Below are 14,938 nucleotides of genomic sequence, written 5' to 3'. Positions count from 1 at the left end.
AATAACAGCACATCTGAATTATATCATTTCAGCATTTGGCTGCTACCTCTTTGACCCTCACATGAGTCTCCGTTTCCTCAGCTGACAAATGGAGTACAGACCAGATAGTGCCTTCGATCCTCTTACCGCTACCACTCTGATTGAAAGCAGCTTACTTTTAGGACTAGTTTATTATGGCACCACTGCCTTCTAGGTGCTCTGCTGTAGCCAGCACGAGTTGTCCTAAAGTGCATGGTATGGGTGTCTAGGTGAAAGACTTGGCATCCGTACTGTTCTTTCTGGTGGGAGAGGGAGATAAGTCACTTAATCTTCACTTAATCCTCTCTCCTCAAAACTCTCCAATTGTTTCTCACACCCTTCAGCATGTGGCTGCTGCTATTTCCCTGCTCTCTTCTCCCACTCGCTGTTGCCACATTGGATTTCATTATGGTCCAAAAGCACAGCAGGCGACTCCTGCCTCTCAGCTTCTGCGCTAGCTCTTCCCTCTACCTGGAACATCTCTCTTCCAGATCTCTGCATGAGTTGCTTCGCGTGCTATTTAGGATTCTACCCAAATGTCACTTTCTCAGAGAGGCCCTCATTGACCGCTCTACCTAAAATAGCCACCCCCTCATAATTCTTTTGCTCTTTACCCTCATGTTCTGAAACCTCTCTCTCTCTCTCTGAGTTTAGTTGTTTCTTTTTGCTCGAATATATACTCCACTTTTATAGCGTCCCCAGTGCTTAGAATGGTGTTTGGTTTACAGTGAATACCTACCATTTTTCTGGTGAATGAATGGATTAATAATCTATTAATAACATGGTATGTGTAATAAAAATGTATAGGATCTAGGAAACATCCTGTGTGTGGGGACCACACAGAATCCTGATTTTCAAGGTGCAGAGACACACAGAGATATCATCAGTAGAAAAATAAAAGATTATTATCTAACCAAAATCTGGAAAACTCTAGGTAAACTACAAGGTCACACATCAAACACACAACTTTTTTTTTTTTTAATGCAAAAAGATCTCTTTTAGGTCAGGTAAGGAGACAGATTATTTGGCATCATATTTCTATTACAAGTTCCAGATTACTCAGTGGCTGTTTGTTCGTAATCCAGTTATAGACTGGATTGATCTGTAACCTTGAGTCATTCTCCTCTCTCGTGTCTCTTATGAATTCTAAGTTGAAAGCCTGATGCTAGGGAAGTTGAAAGTGTGAGTAGTTCAGTGAAAACAAAACAAAAGAAAACAACAGAGGTAACAACGTACTTAAGCCCCCCTGTACTGGGGCCTCTGGAAGGACACTAAGAGCATGACTCTGTTTTGATTTTAATGTGGAGGTTTTCCACTTACTGGTGCTTTCTTCTCTTTCTCATGCAGCCGTGAATCCATGTGCCTTTTCCCGCTGCAGCCATCTCTGCCTGCTTTCCTCACAGGGGCCTCATTTTTACTCCTGTGTTTGTCCTTCAGGATGGAGTCTGTCTCCTGATCTCCTGAATTGCTTGAGAGGTATAGTATGCTCCTTATGTGAGCTCTGAAGATGGAGCTGGTCATAGTTTGTGCCAAGCAGTGGAAACTCTAAAACCAATTGCGACTGAACATGTGCTGTGTCCTTTGATTCCTCAGGTGTCTGCAGAATGATGTGTGTTGTATGGGGTGATGTCACTGTGTGCCTTGGTTGTAATACAGTTTCTGTATATGGAACTAATGTTATCTGTGCATGTAATTGAACAATCTGTAACCTCATATTTTCTCTCACCTGGGTACAGTTAGACTTCTCTGACAAGCCATGATAATGGGAAGTTCCAAATTCTTCACCTAAGAAGTAAACATTCTCAACGTTTGTGTACAGCTTCATTTTTTATGTCCATTGTCTCTTTCTCCCTCTTTTTTTTTTCTTTTTTCTTTCTTTCTTTTTTTTTTCTTTCTGAGACAGGGTCTTGCTCTGATGCCCAGACTGTAGTGCAATGGCGTAATCATAGCTCACTGTAGCCTCCACTTTCCGGGCCCCTGTGATTCTCCCACCTCAGCCTCCTGAGTAGATGAGACTATAGGTGCACGCCACCACACCCGGCTAATTTTTGTATTTTTTGTAGAGACCGGGTTTTGCCATGTTGCCCAGGCTGGTCTCCAAGTTCTGCCCTCAGGCCATCCACTTGCCTTAGCCTCCCAAAGTGCTGGGATTACAGACGTGGACCACTGCACCTGGCTCCATTGTCTCATTTTTATTCTTATAACCAATAGTTAATGAGTGTTCTAGCCTGGGTCTTCTGACTCCAATTTCAGTACTGTTACTATTACCATCTGATACTTTAAGAAGGAGAATTGTGTTGGTATGAGATATTACAAGTGACTGAGCAATTTAATATTTATCTCATCCTAGAGATATTTTATTGGGTCGATTGAAGAGTGTGTGGAGGATTATACCAAGTACTTAAGGGAGTAAGAAAAGAAGGAAAAGTTGCATCCAGTTCACAAAAGAGATTTCTTCTGGAGTGTGTACTTGTATATAATACACTTAAAAATATAATTCCTTATTGCTTAAAAATCTAAGAAGTTACTCTAAACCCAAGTTCCCTTTCGTTTCTCAGTGAAGAGAACTGAATGAATATATTTTGATACTGATGAAAATTGCTGTAGACAAGTTCAACTTAAATGTTTAATGATCACATATTCCTAAATTAAGAGATAATAGAGTCCTAATCTAGAAGGAAATTTAGTCCTAATCTAGAATGGAAAATATATACTGAATTCAGGAAACTTTTAGTGTTTAGATATTATGCAGATGTAGGCTTACTGAAAATCAAATTCCATCAGCATGTAATATTGTGCAATGATACTTTCATGATGAAAGATTTTAATTATTGGTAATTCTCACAGAGGGACTGGCACTTGCCATTTTTCCTCAGAGACTTATTATGTACCTAATCCTCGTTGACATTGTTTAATTTAGTGTGTTCCTAGAGTCTTTCAGGAGAAGATTAAACTGGGCTGTAGACATTTCGGATACAAAGCATTCTTTCAGCACACAAAGACTGTTGAATTGCACATTGGGGGTTGGTGTAATCAATATTACTCTCTGATGATGATTGATAAGTGTTAATTTTAAATAGTGCCTTTTGTTGTTTCACAAATAATTCCACTAGTGGTTTTCTCATGGGTTGACTTTACCGAAGTGGAACTTTTTAAGTATTTCCCAGTAGGTTTCAGAGCACCAGCTGAGTAACTGATTGCCAATATATGTTAAATGAAAAAAGGTTTCCACATTTTTTTTTCCCCAACAAGAAGTTTAGAAAACTTGTTAACATTTATAGGTGGAAACATTTTACTTGATTTGATTGTTGAATAGCTTTTCAACTAGTGTTTACTAAGAGGCTGGAATATATGTAGAAGTGCTTCTGTGATGCTGTTAAGTAAAAGAAGCAGATATTGCACAATATTGGCCTTGTAAAAACATGCATTAAAAAACACACAAGTTTCTGGAAGCAAAAACACACAAGTGCCAATAGTGGTTACAGTTGGATAGGGGAATTATGAGATGGTTCTACTTATTTCTAATTTTATGTTATAATGAGTGCTTTCTCTGTATGAGACTTTTTAAATTCTTTAGAAAATATATTCCCCACAATGCCAAAACCAAATGAACAAACAAAACTCAAGCCAAACATCACCTCAGCACCCCTAAAATTACTCCAAATACAAATAGACTTCTGACTCGGTCTCAGGGGCACAAGGCACTTGCTTCAGTGATTTTGTGCAAGATAAGAGAACACTCCTTGTCCTTGCTCCAGGGAAGGCTGCAGTGCTGATCAGCTTGTGCAGGGTATGACTTAAGGAGGACCTAGGTTTGGGGGTCATATATATTGTCGTTCAATTACAACACTGAGTTCTCATTCCTGACTATAGTGTCTTCATGACTCTGCTGACACTAACATTAATGGGATTATGACATGGAAAATAGAAATGAAGAGATGATCTTTAACTTCAAAAGACAGAGACACACTGACCTACTTAACCGTCACCACCTCCTGAATTCCTTTCCATCCAACCCTAGATGATTCTGTGCCTACCCCTTCATGCCATTGTCATAATTGTAAGGGCTCATATACTTGGTCTTGCCCTCTAGATGCTGCGTTCCTTGAGGATAAAGCCTCTACCTGGTCTGTAGATGTATGCTTATTGCCTGTGGCACTTCGTGGTACATGGTGGCACTCAGTAAATGTTGAGTGAATGACAAGCTCTCCAATATCCATTTTTGTTACTTCCCCAGTCCTCTGATTTTTACCCGTTTGCTCCGTAGAAATGTGTGCAGTGTTGTGAAGTCACTTCTTTTTGCTTTCCCATATAGCACTTTTCAGGCATCTCCCTGCGCCACCTGTTGTCTTACTGGCCAGTTCCTTTCTATTACTCCCCTGGCATCATCCCCCACCATGATGCTCACAGTTTCAGCCAGCGCAGCATTGCAGGAGATCCTGTTCTCTGGTCCATTGCTTGCAAATGTTCATTGGTGGTAAACGTTCTCAGTACATCAGCAGTTATCAGATAAAGGGCTTGAGACATGATCCCCAGGAAGCAGTAGAAGCGGGTGGTGCTTAAGGGAAGAGCACCATGGAAGAGTCAAGAAGGCCCATGCATAATGGATGAGATATGCAAAGTTTTTAGGCCCTAAACAATGCTTTGGTTGAGAATTATTCCAATTAAGCAAAGGGAGATGACCCATTCAAAAGGGCAGGATCAGATCTTACGTAAGTGAGTAAAAATTTAAAGTCCCCCATAAAACTGGGACAGAGATAGTTTCTACTGAGCCAGTGAACATTAATAACAGATAATCAATAAATAATTAAATATCATCTCAATATAATTTCTTGGTACAGCTGAAACTCATAATCTAGCATTTTTTTTTTTTTTTTTACTGTTGCAGTTAAACCAAATGAAATGAGTGGTAATTTGATACTCAAGAAATAGTACCTGGCCTGCGGTATTTGCAGTGTAGTGATGAAAAACGTAGATTTTGGAGTCCAGGAGTCCTGGTTGTGTGACCTCGTTTAAATTGCTTGATTTCTTTGTGTCTTATTTGCAAATTGAGGGAGGACCTATCTAACAAACAAGATTAGGAAACTTGAGGGAGATAAATTAAGGGAAATACTTACCTGATGCATGCAGTATGGCGCATATTCTCAATCAATGAGAAGCGATTTTTATTGCAATTGCAGTTGTTCAGAAGAGAGGCAATGTGGAGCAGCTGAGAGAAGAAGGGCCTGGAAGTGAATGAGCCAGGGTCCATCTCCTATTACTGTTTCCTGCAGAAGTCACAGAGCTCCTGCAAATCTCATTTGCTCCAGCTGAAAACAACTTTGCAGGCTTGTTGTGGAAGACTCTACATTGTAGTACTTGAAAAATGTAAAGCATTAATAGTTGCGAAATTTACATTAGACTAAATTTAAATTTGTCCTAGGTTAATAAAGACTGGGTTATTTCTCAGTAATAGAAATGATAGGAACAAGAAAAAGCTAATGAGATGTGAAAATAAGTAAAGAAAAAATGACCAAGTCATCCTGCTGAAGATGGAAAGCTTCCCGGATTATAAAAATAATGAAAACATCATTTTTAGCTTATGAAAGTTGTGTAATGATTAATCATTTCATACTTTGTCTTAATATGTGATATATCTTATACATATATCTTAACCCAAAACTTAGATTCAAAAGTTTTCCTTTTCTCAGAGAGGAATTTTAAAACCCCACTCTTGATGGGGATCAGGATAAAGATTAAATTATTTTTGAAAAAGGAACTTTTATTATCTATTAAGGAGATAAGTGAACTGATAGTTTAAGATATTATGGGAATGTTTAAATTACAATGTGTAGACAGTTTTGAGAACTTTGGAAGATACTGTTTACTTATTCACTTATACATTCATCCATTAATGCAGTCATATGGTCATCCATTTAGTTATCAAACATTTATTGGGCAACTATTTTATGCCAGGCTCTGAGTACCAGGCCCTGGGACACAATAATGAGCAAATCAGACACAGTCATTGACCTTTGGGAGTTAAAATCTTATAGGGAAGAGAGACACTAGTCAAGTAACAACTGATAGGATTATACATTGGATTTATTTATTAAAGTCTCAATAAATACTAGGCAACACTTTGTAGTGTTGTTTTATTTTTGGAACATTCTTAAAACTAGTAAGCTGCCTTTCACAAGAATAGTCTCAATGATTTTTTTCACTTTTTTTTTTTCAAAACTCAACTCTCCTTTCCCTGAGATCAGTGTGAGTGAGGTTTGTCTGTGTGTAGAAGTGGAAGAACTTCCTGTCTGTGAGGTTTAGCAAACATGGGTGGTTTATTAGTGTAAGTAAGGACTTAATGAAGAGTAAGATAAATACCAACCTGCCTTGAAAAAGTCCAGACAGCGTTGTATGTGGGGTTGGAGGTCTTGTGGTCCAGCAGCCCACTGAAACCCTGGGAAAGGCCCATGCTTGTCTGATGAAGTACATTATATTTATTGCTGCAATGCTGCAATGTCATTTTAGCCCATATGATGGTAACAGGCTATTGCCTTCCATTACTCTAAATGTCTGGGAATAGTGGGATATGATTTTGACTGATATTCTTCTATTTTCACAGATGATCAACCTTTCTTAATAACTGTAAGGCAACATATAATTTTTGGAATCTCCCTTAATCCTGAGGTGAAGAGCAATGATGCTATGGTCCCCATAGCAGGGATACAGAATGGTTTAGATGTTGAATTTGATGATGCTGAGCAATACATCTATTGGGTTGAAAATCCAGTAAGTTTTGAATAACATTCAAAGTATATAATTTATTCTTGAAGAGCCTGCCTGCACTGATGTTTTCTTATAAGCAAACTTTTGTCATGTGAGTAAAAGGGAAACAATGTGGAAATAAATTTATCCCTAAGTTTTTTGATTCAATGAGGGGTATATATGTGAGCTTGGCCTGGAGCAAAAATCATAACACTCTTTAGCTTCAGAATAAGAAACAAATTTAAGCTATTGTGTATTATTTACTCATTCAGCAAGTATTTTCCAGAAGTGCCTATGATTTGCCCTGCACTGAATTACCTGCTTCTAACCACAGAATACATGCCAAGAAGCAGCAGTCACAATGCTTGCCCCTAGAGGAGTCTTAAGCTAGTAGAAAATATTCGACGAATATAAAAATGATCAAAACTCAAGATAAAAGTAGTAGCTCCCTAAGGGAATTTAGTGAAAGCATTTGATGTGGTGCTGGGGCCTTCCTTTAGAATCCTTTAGAATATTTGCCTCTAGGGTAAGAATGAACACTTCTCCAGTTCTCTTCCTCAGAGGTCATTTTCTTCAGCCTTCAGGGAAAAAACCTGTAAGAATAGGGAAAGAGCAAGAAGACTATAAAGGAGGAAGAGAAGAAAAATCTTTGTGTTTCATGTTTGTCACCTATATACAAAATATACTCCTGGTCTTCTGATCCACATCTGTGACTTGGGTTTTTCTCATGACTTGTATGCTTGTGGTAGTTAAGAACTATCTCTGTAGCCAGTACTGGAGATAGCCTGAATGGTAAGCCTTGTGTATTCCTGTGACACACTGAAAAATCGTTTGAAGCCTACCCAGTGGTGCTGAACCTTTGTTTGCCTTTCCTCTGAGTGTAAGGACTGTTCAAGAAATACAGCAGCTGGCAGTAGCCACAGTGAAGAAAGGGTTCTTTTGTAGGAGCCATGGCCTTGGAACTGCTCACCTCCCCTTGTCTTTCTTTCCAGGGTGAAATTCACAGAGTGAAGACAGATGGCACCAACAGGACAGTATTTGCTTCTATATCTATGGTGGGGCCTTCTATGAACCTGGCCTTAGATTGGATTTCAAGAAACCTTTATTCTACCAATCCTAGAACTCAGTCAATCGAGGTAATGATTCCATAATACTACTTACACAAACATTGGATTTAGATTGATGTAAACTCTAGTCTCAGGAATAGATCTCACGTGGATTTTGGAATCATTTTTAAGCAAAAAGAAAAAGGGAAAAGATATTAGTGTTAACTATCAAAGTCTCTGAAGTGAAAGAGGAAAACCACCTTAAAATTTTTTTTAAATTTATTTTTATTTATTTATTTATTTTTTTTTTAGACAAAGTCTCACTCTGTCGCCCAGGCTGGAGTGCAGTGGCAAGACCTTGGCTCACTGCAACCTCTGGCTCCTGGGTTCAAGCAATTCTCCTGTCTCAGCCACCCGAGTAGCTGGGATTACAGGCGTGCACCACCAAGCCTAGTTAATTTTTTGTATTTTTAGTAGAGACGGGGTTTCACCATGTTGGCCAGGCTGGTCTTGAACACCTGACCTCAAGTGATCCACCCGCCTTGACCTCCCAAAGTGTTGGGATTATAGGCATGAGCCACCACGCCTGGCTGGCAAAAATAAATTATTTGAGCTTTCTATTGCTCTATTTTGTTTCCTCCTAATTATCAATACTACCTTGTTGCTATAAAAGTGTTTTAGGTAATTTACAAAATAATATATAAGAAGATAAATAAAAGTTGCATAAGGAATTCAACATAAAGGGAAGATTATGGTAAGCAGAGAATTTTACTATGTTTCCTCATCTAATCTTCAATGCTATTTCAGTTCTCAACCAAATTTATAGTTTGCCTCTGTTCTTAGATGGAAATCTTTCTATGGCTCCAGTACAGTTTTTCTAACAGCAAAACAGAAAGTAGAAACTTGATTCTAATTCCTTTGATACTCTCTTCTTCAAGATAAGTGTTCTTTTTACTCTAATTCCCAGAAGAAATTCTAGATGAGGCACAGGTATGAAATCACATGAAGTAAGTCAGAGGTAACTTGACTAGTGTTGGTTTGCTCCACTCTGAGAGAAGGGTAAAACATGGAAGGGATTATTAATTCACAATAATTTTGAAAGTGAAACTTCCCAAAACAAGGAGAAGTTTTTGGAGGGGGATAGTTAGCAGAGCCCTGACAATCCACTGCTTTAGGTGGGCACCAGCTGGCAAGACGGTTTTTCTCTGGAGCATTCAGAAAGATACTGAAGATGAGCAAGGCGCACAGCAGCCTGCTGGCTAATTTAGAGCACCTATCTATACTAAAAAGCACTCTCTGTAGACTAAGAACACAGCCTATGTAGAGTTCGGTACTATCTGAGGTTTCATGCATCCCTTGGTGATCTTGGAATGTATCCCCCATGGATGAGTGCAGATGACTGTTTTTATTTCTGCCAAATGAAGAAATAGGGAAAAGGTGTCCCAGGCAGAGAAAAGAGCTCTCACTGGAACAGCGCTTGAGTTTACAAAGATCTTTCACTAGCATCTAATTTAATCCTCACAACATTCCTGAGGGCAGGCAGTTCTGGTAGCCATTTGTGATGAGAGGGAAATTTGCAGTGTGCACAAGTATCTCAAGCCAGGTAGAATTATCAGGTGTTAACATGAAGGGCCCCTTGGAGGCTCCTCTGGTTCAAACTCTTTTTTTTATTTTTATTTTTTTACATCAGAAACCAAGGCCCACAGAAGCTAAGAAGATGTCTTAAATGGTCAGCTTCACTGCTCTAATTCCTGAGCAGTATTCTCTCTTTGCACTTTTATAAACTACAACTCCGGCAATCCAGACTGGTTTAACCCTCTTTGACAGTGGCAGAAAATATTTTTCATGATTTCAACTAAGACTATCATCCTCCCATTAAACAGGCAACATCTACTGCCTAAGACCCTTACTACCAAACTCACATCTCTCTAAAGTCCACCCAGTGCAAAGCTGTCTTAATTCCAAATGGCAATTAATATGCTCTTATTTTATCTCTTTGTCTCTTGATTAGTAAATGGGGTTCTCTTCTTTTAAACTGATAGTTTTCCAAAAGCAGGGAACGTGTCTTTCCCATTAGTGTTAGGTACAATGCAGTAGTGGCCAGTTGGAGAATAACTGAGCGTGCATGTGTGTATGGATTGGTAAGGCCACTTTAACCACATGAACCAAAAGTTTCTAATTATGCCCTGATGCAGTGTGGTACAGAGGAAAGATATTTTGATTTGGAGTCCAAAGACCTGGCTTTGAGTCTGGGTTGCTTGCTCATTTTATTCATTCATTTAATGAGCACTAGGAAATGCTTTCTATGGATCAGTTGATCCTGGATATCCTAAGATGAATAAACATTTTTTTTCTGTCTTTAAGTAGCTCACATATCTGTGAGATGGATACATAAACAAATACCTGTGCTCCAGTGTCATAAGTGTGATAAGGCCGGTGAATATAAAGTGCTAGTGATTGGAGGCAGAGGTATAAGTGAGGGGAGAGAGCATGCAGATTTCCCATTCATGGTTACTTGTGAGCTGAGTCTTGAAAGATGACTAATACATCCTTGCTTATCGGAGGGTTTCACTTTCCGAGGTTTCAGTTACCTGCAGTGGCCTGAGAATATGTGAGTACAGCACAATAAGATATTTAAAAGGGAGGAGAGAGAGAGAGACCACATTCACATAATTGTTATTACAGTATATTTTTATAATTGTTCTATTTTCAGATTATGGTTAATCTCTTACCATGTCTAATTTATAAATTAAACTTTGTCATAGGTGTGTATATGTAGGAAAAAATATAGTATATATAGCATTCAGTACTATCTGAGGTTTCAGGCATCCATTGGTGATCTTGGAATTTGTCCCCCATGGATGAGGGGGATGACTGTTTTTATTTCTGCCAAATGAAGACGTAGGGAAAAGGTGTCCCAGGAGAGAAAAACAGTTGAATAAAGACCCTGAAACATGGAAATGCATTTTATGACTGGGGACAACACTGCATTTTCTCCACTCATGAGCTATTCGACCTTGGACAAATTACTTAACTTCTCTGAGCCTGTTTTCTCATCTGTACAGTGGAGTTTATGGCTGAGGAAGTAAAAGTACTTCATAACACTGAGGTATCCTGTAAATACAGAGCGCTGTTTCCCTCAAATGATCAATATTTTTAGAAAATCCATGAAAGACCTGTGAGAATAATGATCCAAGGGCAAACTGCCCTTTTAATGGTTTAACTGGTGTTTCCCCTTAGGTCATTTAAATTGTAAGTAAGTCTTCCAGGTGATTGTTGGATTAATTAAGAAAATAGGAATCGTATTCACTTTCTGTTTACCTGTATAATATTCCTTCCTGCCTAAGAGTAGTTCGTGTTTAACTCCAACTTGAAAATAAGAGAAACATTGAAGAAACTATTATCCACTAGGGGTAGCTGTGTTCCCATCCACTAAAAGAAATTTTATAGCTGAATTTTGTAGTGAAGCCTACAGAATGGCCGTGTGAGAGAGAGCTCTATATATTCCAGAAAGCAAGAAAAGGAACTGTGAACCAAAGAGATCCTTAGTCTTAGGAAAAGGAGAGAGATTGTAGCAGAAAGAGGCAAACCGAGAAAAGAAAAGCTACCTTAGTCCAAGCAAGAGTGAAAGATACCAGACAATAGGCAGAGAAAAAAATTTAGAGAAAAGAATGAGGGAAAGAAGGATATATGTGTGTGTGTGTGTATGTGTGCGTGTGAATGCGTGCACACACGTGCACACGCATGTATGAGAGACAGAGAAACACAAATAATCTATTTGTATTGAAAAGCAATTTTATAGAAAAACCTTAATGCAAAAATCAACAGACATTTTCTAATTTCTTACTAATTGTCTGTTAGACTGTCTTAGGTACGTATTAAAATAGCTTCATTGCTGTAAGAAACTTCTTTCTAGTCCAATAAACTATATTTCTATGTGCTGTATCAGGGCCCTGTTAACACTGTGATTATAACAGTAATAATCACAGACAGCCTTGGGAAAGCCACTAAACCTCTGTAGGCCTCTTTTTCTCCATCTGTATTGAGAAAAATAATGGGATCTACCTCACAGAATTGTTTATGAGGATCGAATACAATAATGCTTGCTCTAATACCTCATATATAGTAAGTGACCAACAGATGGACCAATTAAACAATAGAAGTTTATTGAACATAGTTGTGCTGGGTGGTGTGCTGCTTTACCTGTATTATCTCTTAGTCCCGTAAGGTCTACGCAGACCTTCCATATTTGACTGATAAAGTTCAAAGAGGTGAATTTATTTGCCTCAGATTGTACAGTCAGGACCTGGCAGGGCAGAGATTTCAGCTCATGTGTTTCAGTTTAGTTTGTTGACTTGGAACAGAATTCACTGTACCTCTGAGTAAATTTGGACTATTTTGATCAACTGTGTTGGCAGTAACTGGCCACCGAGTGCCTTGGTGGGGTGCAGGAAAGCTGTGGGGTTCTCATTTGTCTTCCAGAGATTTCTCTTAGCTCTCCTGAAGGATTTTTGCAGTTTCTTTAGGCAGTGGCTCTGTATGTTTTCCCAACTGAATCTTCCTTTTATCCATAAAAATGTTCCCTCCTGAAATTTTAGGTGAGTTGGAAGTAGGAACTTGGGAGGTGATTTTGCTGCTCTTACTCTCATTTTCTATTGAGCTAATTTCCTCATTTCCCTGAAGTGCAATATAGATTATCTGAATCTCATGCAAATCCTCTCTCATCCATCCCTAATCGTGCTTTGGAATTTGTTTTGTACATAAGTTCTCCTTCATCTCAGTTTCCTTTGGTTCCCCTTATGAAAGTCAGTTCTAATAAGTGATTTTATGCTATAGGTTTTGACACTCCACGGAGATATCAGATACAGAAAAACATTGATTGCCAATGATGGGACAGCTCTTGGAGTTGGCTTTCCAATTGGCATAACTGTTGATCCTGCTCGTGGGTGAGTATTCATAAATGGCACGTGTCTTCCATGCAGCATTGTTCTTGTTAATGTCAGGGTCTGACAAAATGGAAGATTTCAAATTTAGGACATCTTCTGATTTCATATGTCAACATTTGAAAAATAATAGATCTCAGTGAGAAAGAGAAATAGCTCTGACCTATATTTAATGTGCAGGATATTGTTTGTATTTTGTCCTATGGTCTTCAAATGAACAACACTGGATTTAAAATTAATTCCAAACAAGCAAGAATTTTAGGAATTTTAAAATAGCATTATAAGAATTGACAATATATTCTGACTTTGAAAGGACACGGAAAGCTCTAAGGGATTATGTAACATTTGCAATAGAGCTTGCAGGATGAGAAGCCTTCTAGTAGGTGGAGAATGGGTTGCAACCAGGCAGTGACTCTTGAGGCCAAGGGATCCATGAAGGCACAGAAGTATGGCGGCACTTAGCAGGATTGTGGGGAGAGCCGGAACCAGAGGCTTAGAGTAGGGAGCTGTTGACCACATGGGAGATACAACAGATAAGGTCATTTGGGGACAAATCAAGGAGGGCCTTTAATATCATGCTAAGAAGTTGAACTTTATTCTTTTGAGTGATAAGGAGCAAGTAGGGATTTTTTTTAAAAAATTTCAACTTTTATTTTAGTTATAGGGGGCACATGTGCAGGTTTGTTACATGGGTATATTGTACCCAGATAGTGAGCATAGTACCCAATAGTTAGTTTTTCAACCCATGCCCTCCTCCCTTCCTCCCCTCTCTAGTAGTCCACAGTGTCTGTTGTTCCCATGTGTATGTCCATGTGTGCTCAATGTTTAGCTCCCACTTATAAGTCAGAACATGTGGTATTTGGTTTTCTCTTCCTAGCAAGGAATCCTGAGGAAGGGAGTGAAAGAACCAAATTTGTGTTTTAGAAAAATTGGTCAGGATTGATGTGGAGAGAGGCCAGGGCCAGGGAGACCAGTTAGGAGAAAATGGTCTTAATGGATGTAGGCTGGAGTCCTCCGGTCTGTTTGATTGGCTATTTCATTCTGTTGATCTACTATACCATATTATAAACCAGAATAACAAATTGTAAAATATGAACACTGATTTTTTTTTTAAAGAGATTGTAGCATCATTCCAAGTGGATTTTGGCTTAATGTTTGAAAGTTATCAGATTCTTAGGCCTAGAAGGGCACTGAAGAAGTAATTTGTATTAGCGCTCTGTTTCAAATAAGGATGACATGGAAACCAAATCCAATTTTTAAAGGGCACAAGAAGCAAACATTCTATTCTGTGCCTGCTGGCTTGTACTAGTTTTCAGTTATTCTTTCTAGAAGAAGGACTGTCTTAGGTTCGAAATTCTACTTTTGAAACTCAGGCTCACTCATTATTTGTTTTTCGTTTATCAGACATTTCTGCATTGTGTACCTTTGTTGGGTGGTGTGTTAGTTAAGATAGCTAACTGTTGAAGCAAATAAACTCCTAAATATGTAATGGCTCAAAGAAAATAGAAATTTTTTTGTCTTTTATATGGGCAGTGGGGTTTGGGCAGAAGATGGGAGGAAGCTCTACTCTACGTAGTCATTCAGGACCCAGGCTGATGGATGCTCTGCCATCTTCAGTAGGAGGCTTCCTAGGTCATTCTGAGTATCAAGATCTTTCGAGCAGTAAAGGAAAGAACGTTCAGAAATTTGCTGGGAGGTTTTTATGAGCCAGGCCTACAAGTAGTGCACGCCACTTCTGCTCACACTCCTTAAGCTAGAATTGGGTCACATGGCCACAGCTAACTGCACGGAAGGACATGCAGTCCACCTATTTACCCAGAGAGAAGAGGAAGACATTAATTTTGGCAAGTGGAGGCAGTCTCTTTCATGGGGCCATGGTGGGGAGTTCAGAGGGTGGATACAAAGATTAAAGACCTAATTTGCAACCTTAAGGATTTATGGCTTAGTAAGGAGGATAAGGCCTGTGTATAAATAACAATAACCCAGATTCATATAAGATTAAGAGCCACAAGAGAGGCTAAAAAAATTGGGATGATAGTGCTATAAAGAGGTGACATTTCAGCTTGGTGGAAGAGATATCATTTGGACTGGATCTTAAAGCATACCTAGAATTTCACTGGGCAGAGCTAGCTTTTAAGATATATCAGGCGATATGAAGGATGGAAGGTCAAGAGCAAAGGGACAGAA

At 38.9% G+C, this 14,938-nt stretch overlaps 1 protein-coding gene across 4 annotated transcripts in view; it reads left to right on the top strand.

Annotated features, from left to right (window-relative positions):
- LRP2 (LDL receptor related protein 2) overlaps positions 1-14,938 on the top strand; it is a 235,426-nt gene that overhangs the window by 129,327 nt on the left and 91,161 nt on the right. For all 4 annotated transcript variants that reach the window (XM_011511183.4, NM_004525.3, XM_047444340.1 and 1 more), the window contains 4 exons: positions 1,366-1,494; positions 6,620-6,786; positions 7,755-7,898; positions 12,645-12,754. In XM_011511183.4, coding sequence (XP_011509485.1) covers positions 1,366-1,494; positions 6,620-6,786; positions 7,755-7,898; positions 12,645-12,754 — 550 coding nt within the window. The remainder of the gene's footprint in view (positions 1-1,365; positions 1,495-6,619; positions 6,787-7,754; positions 7,899-12,644; positions 12,755-14,938) is intronic.

This window comes from Homo sapiens, chromosome 2, assembly GCF_000001405.40.
Source record: "Homo sapiens chromosome 2, GRCh38.p14 Primary Assembly".
NCBI classification, from domain to species: domain Eukaryota; kingdom Metazoa; phylum Chordata; class Mammalia; order Primates; family Hominidae; genus Homo; species Homo sapiens.
Note: the sequence above shows the minus strand (reverse complement) of the source record. Positions and strands in the feature narration are given on the sequence as shown.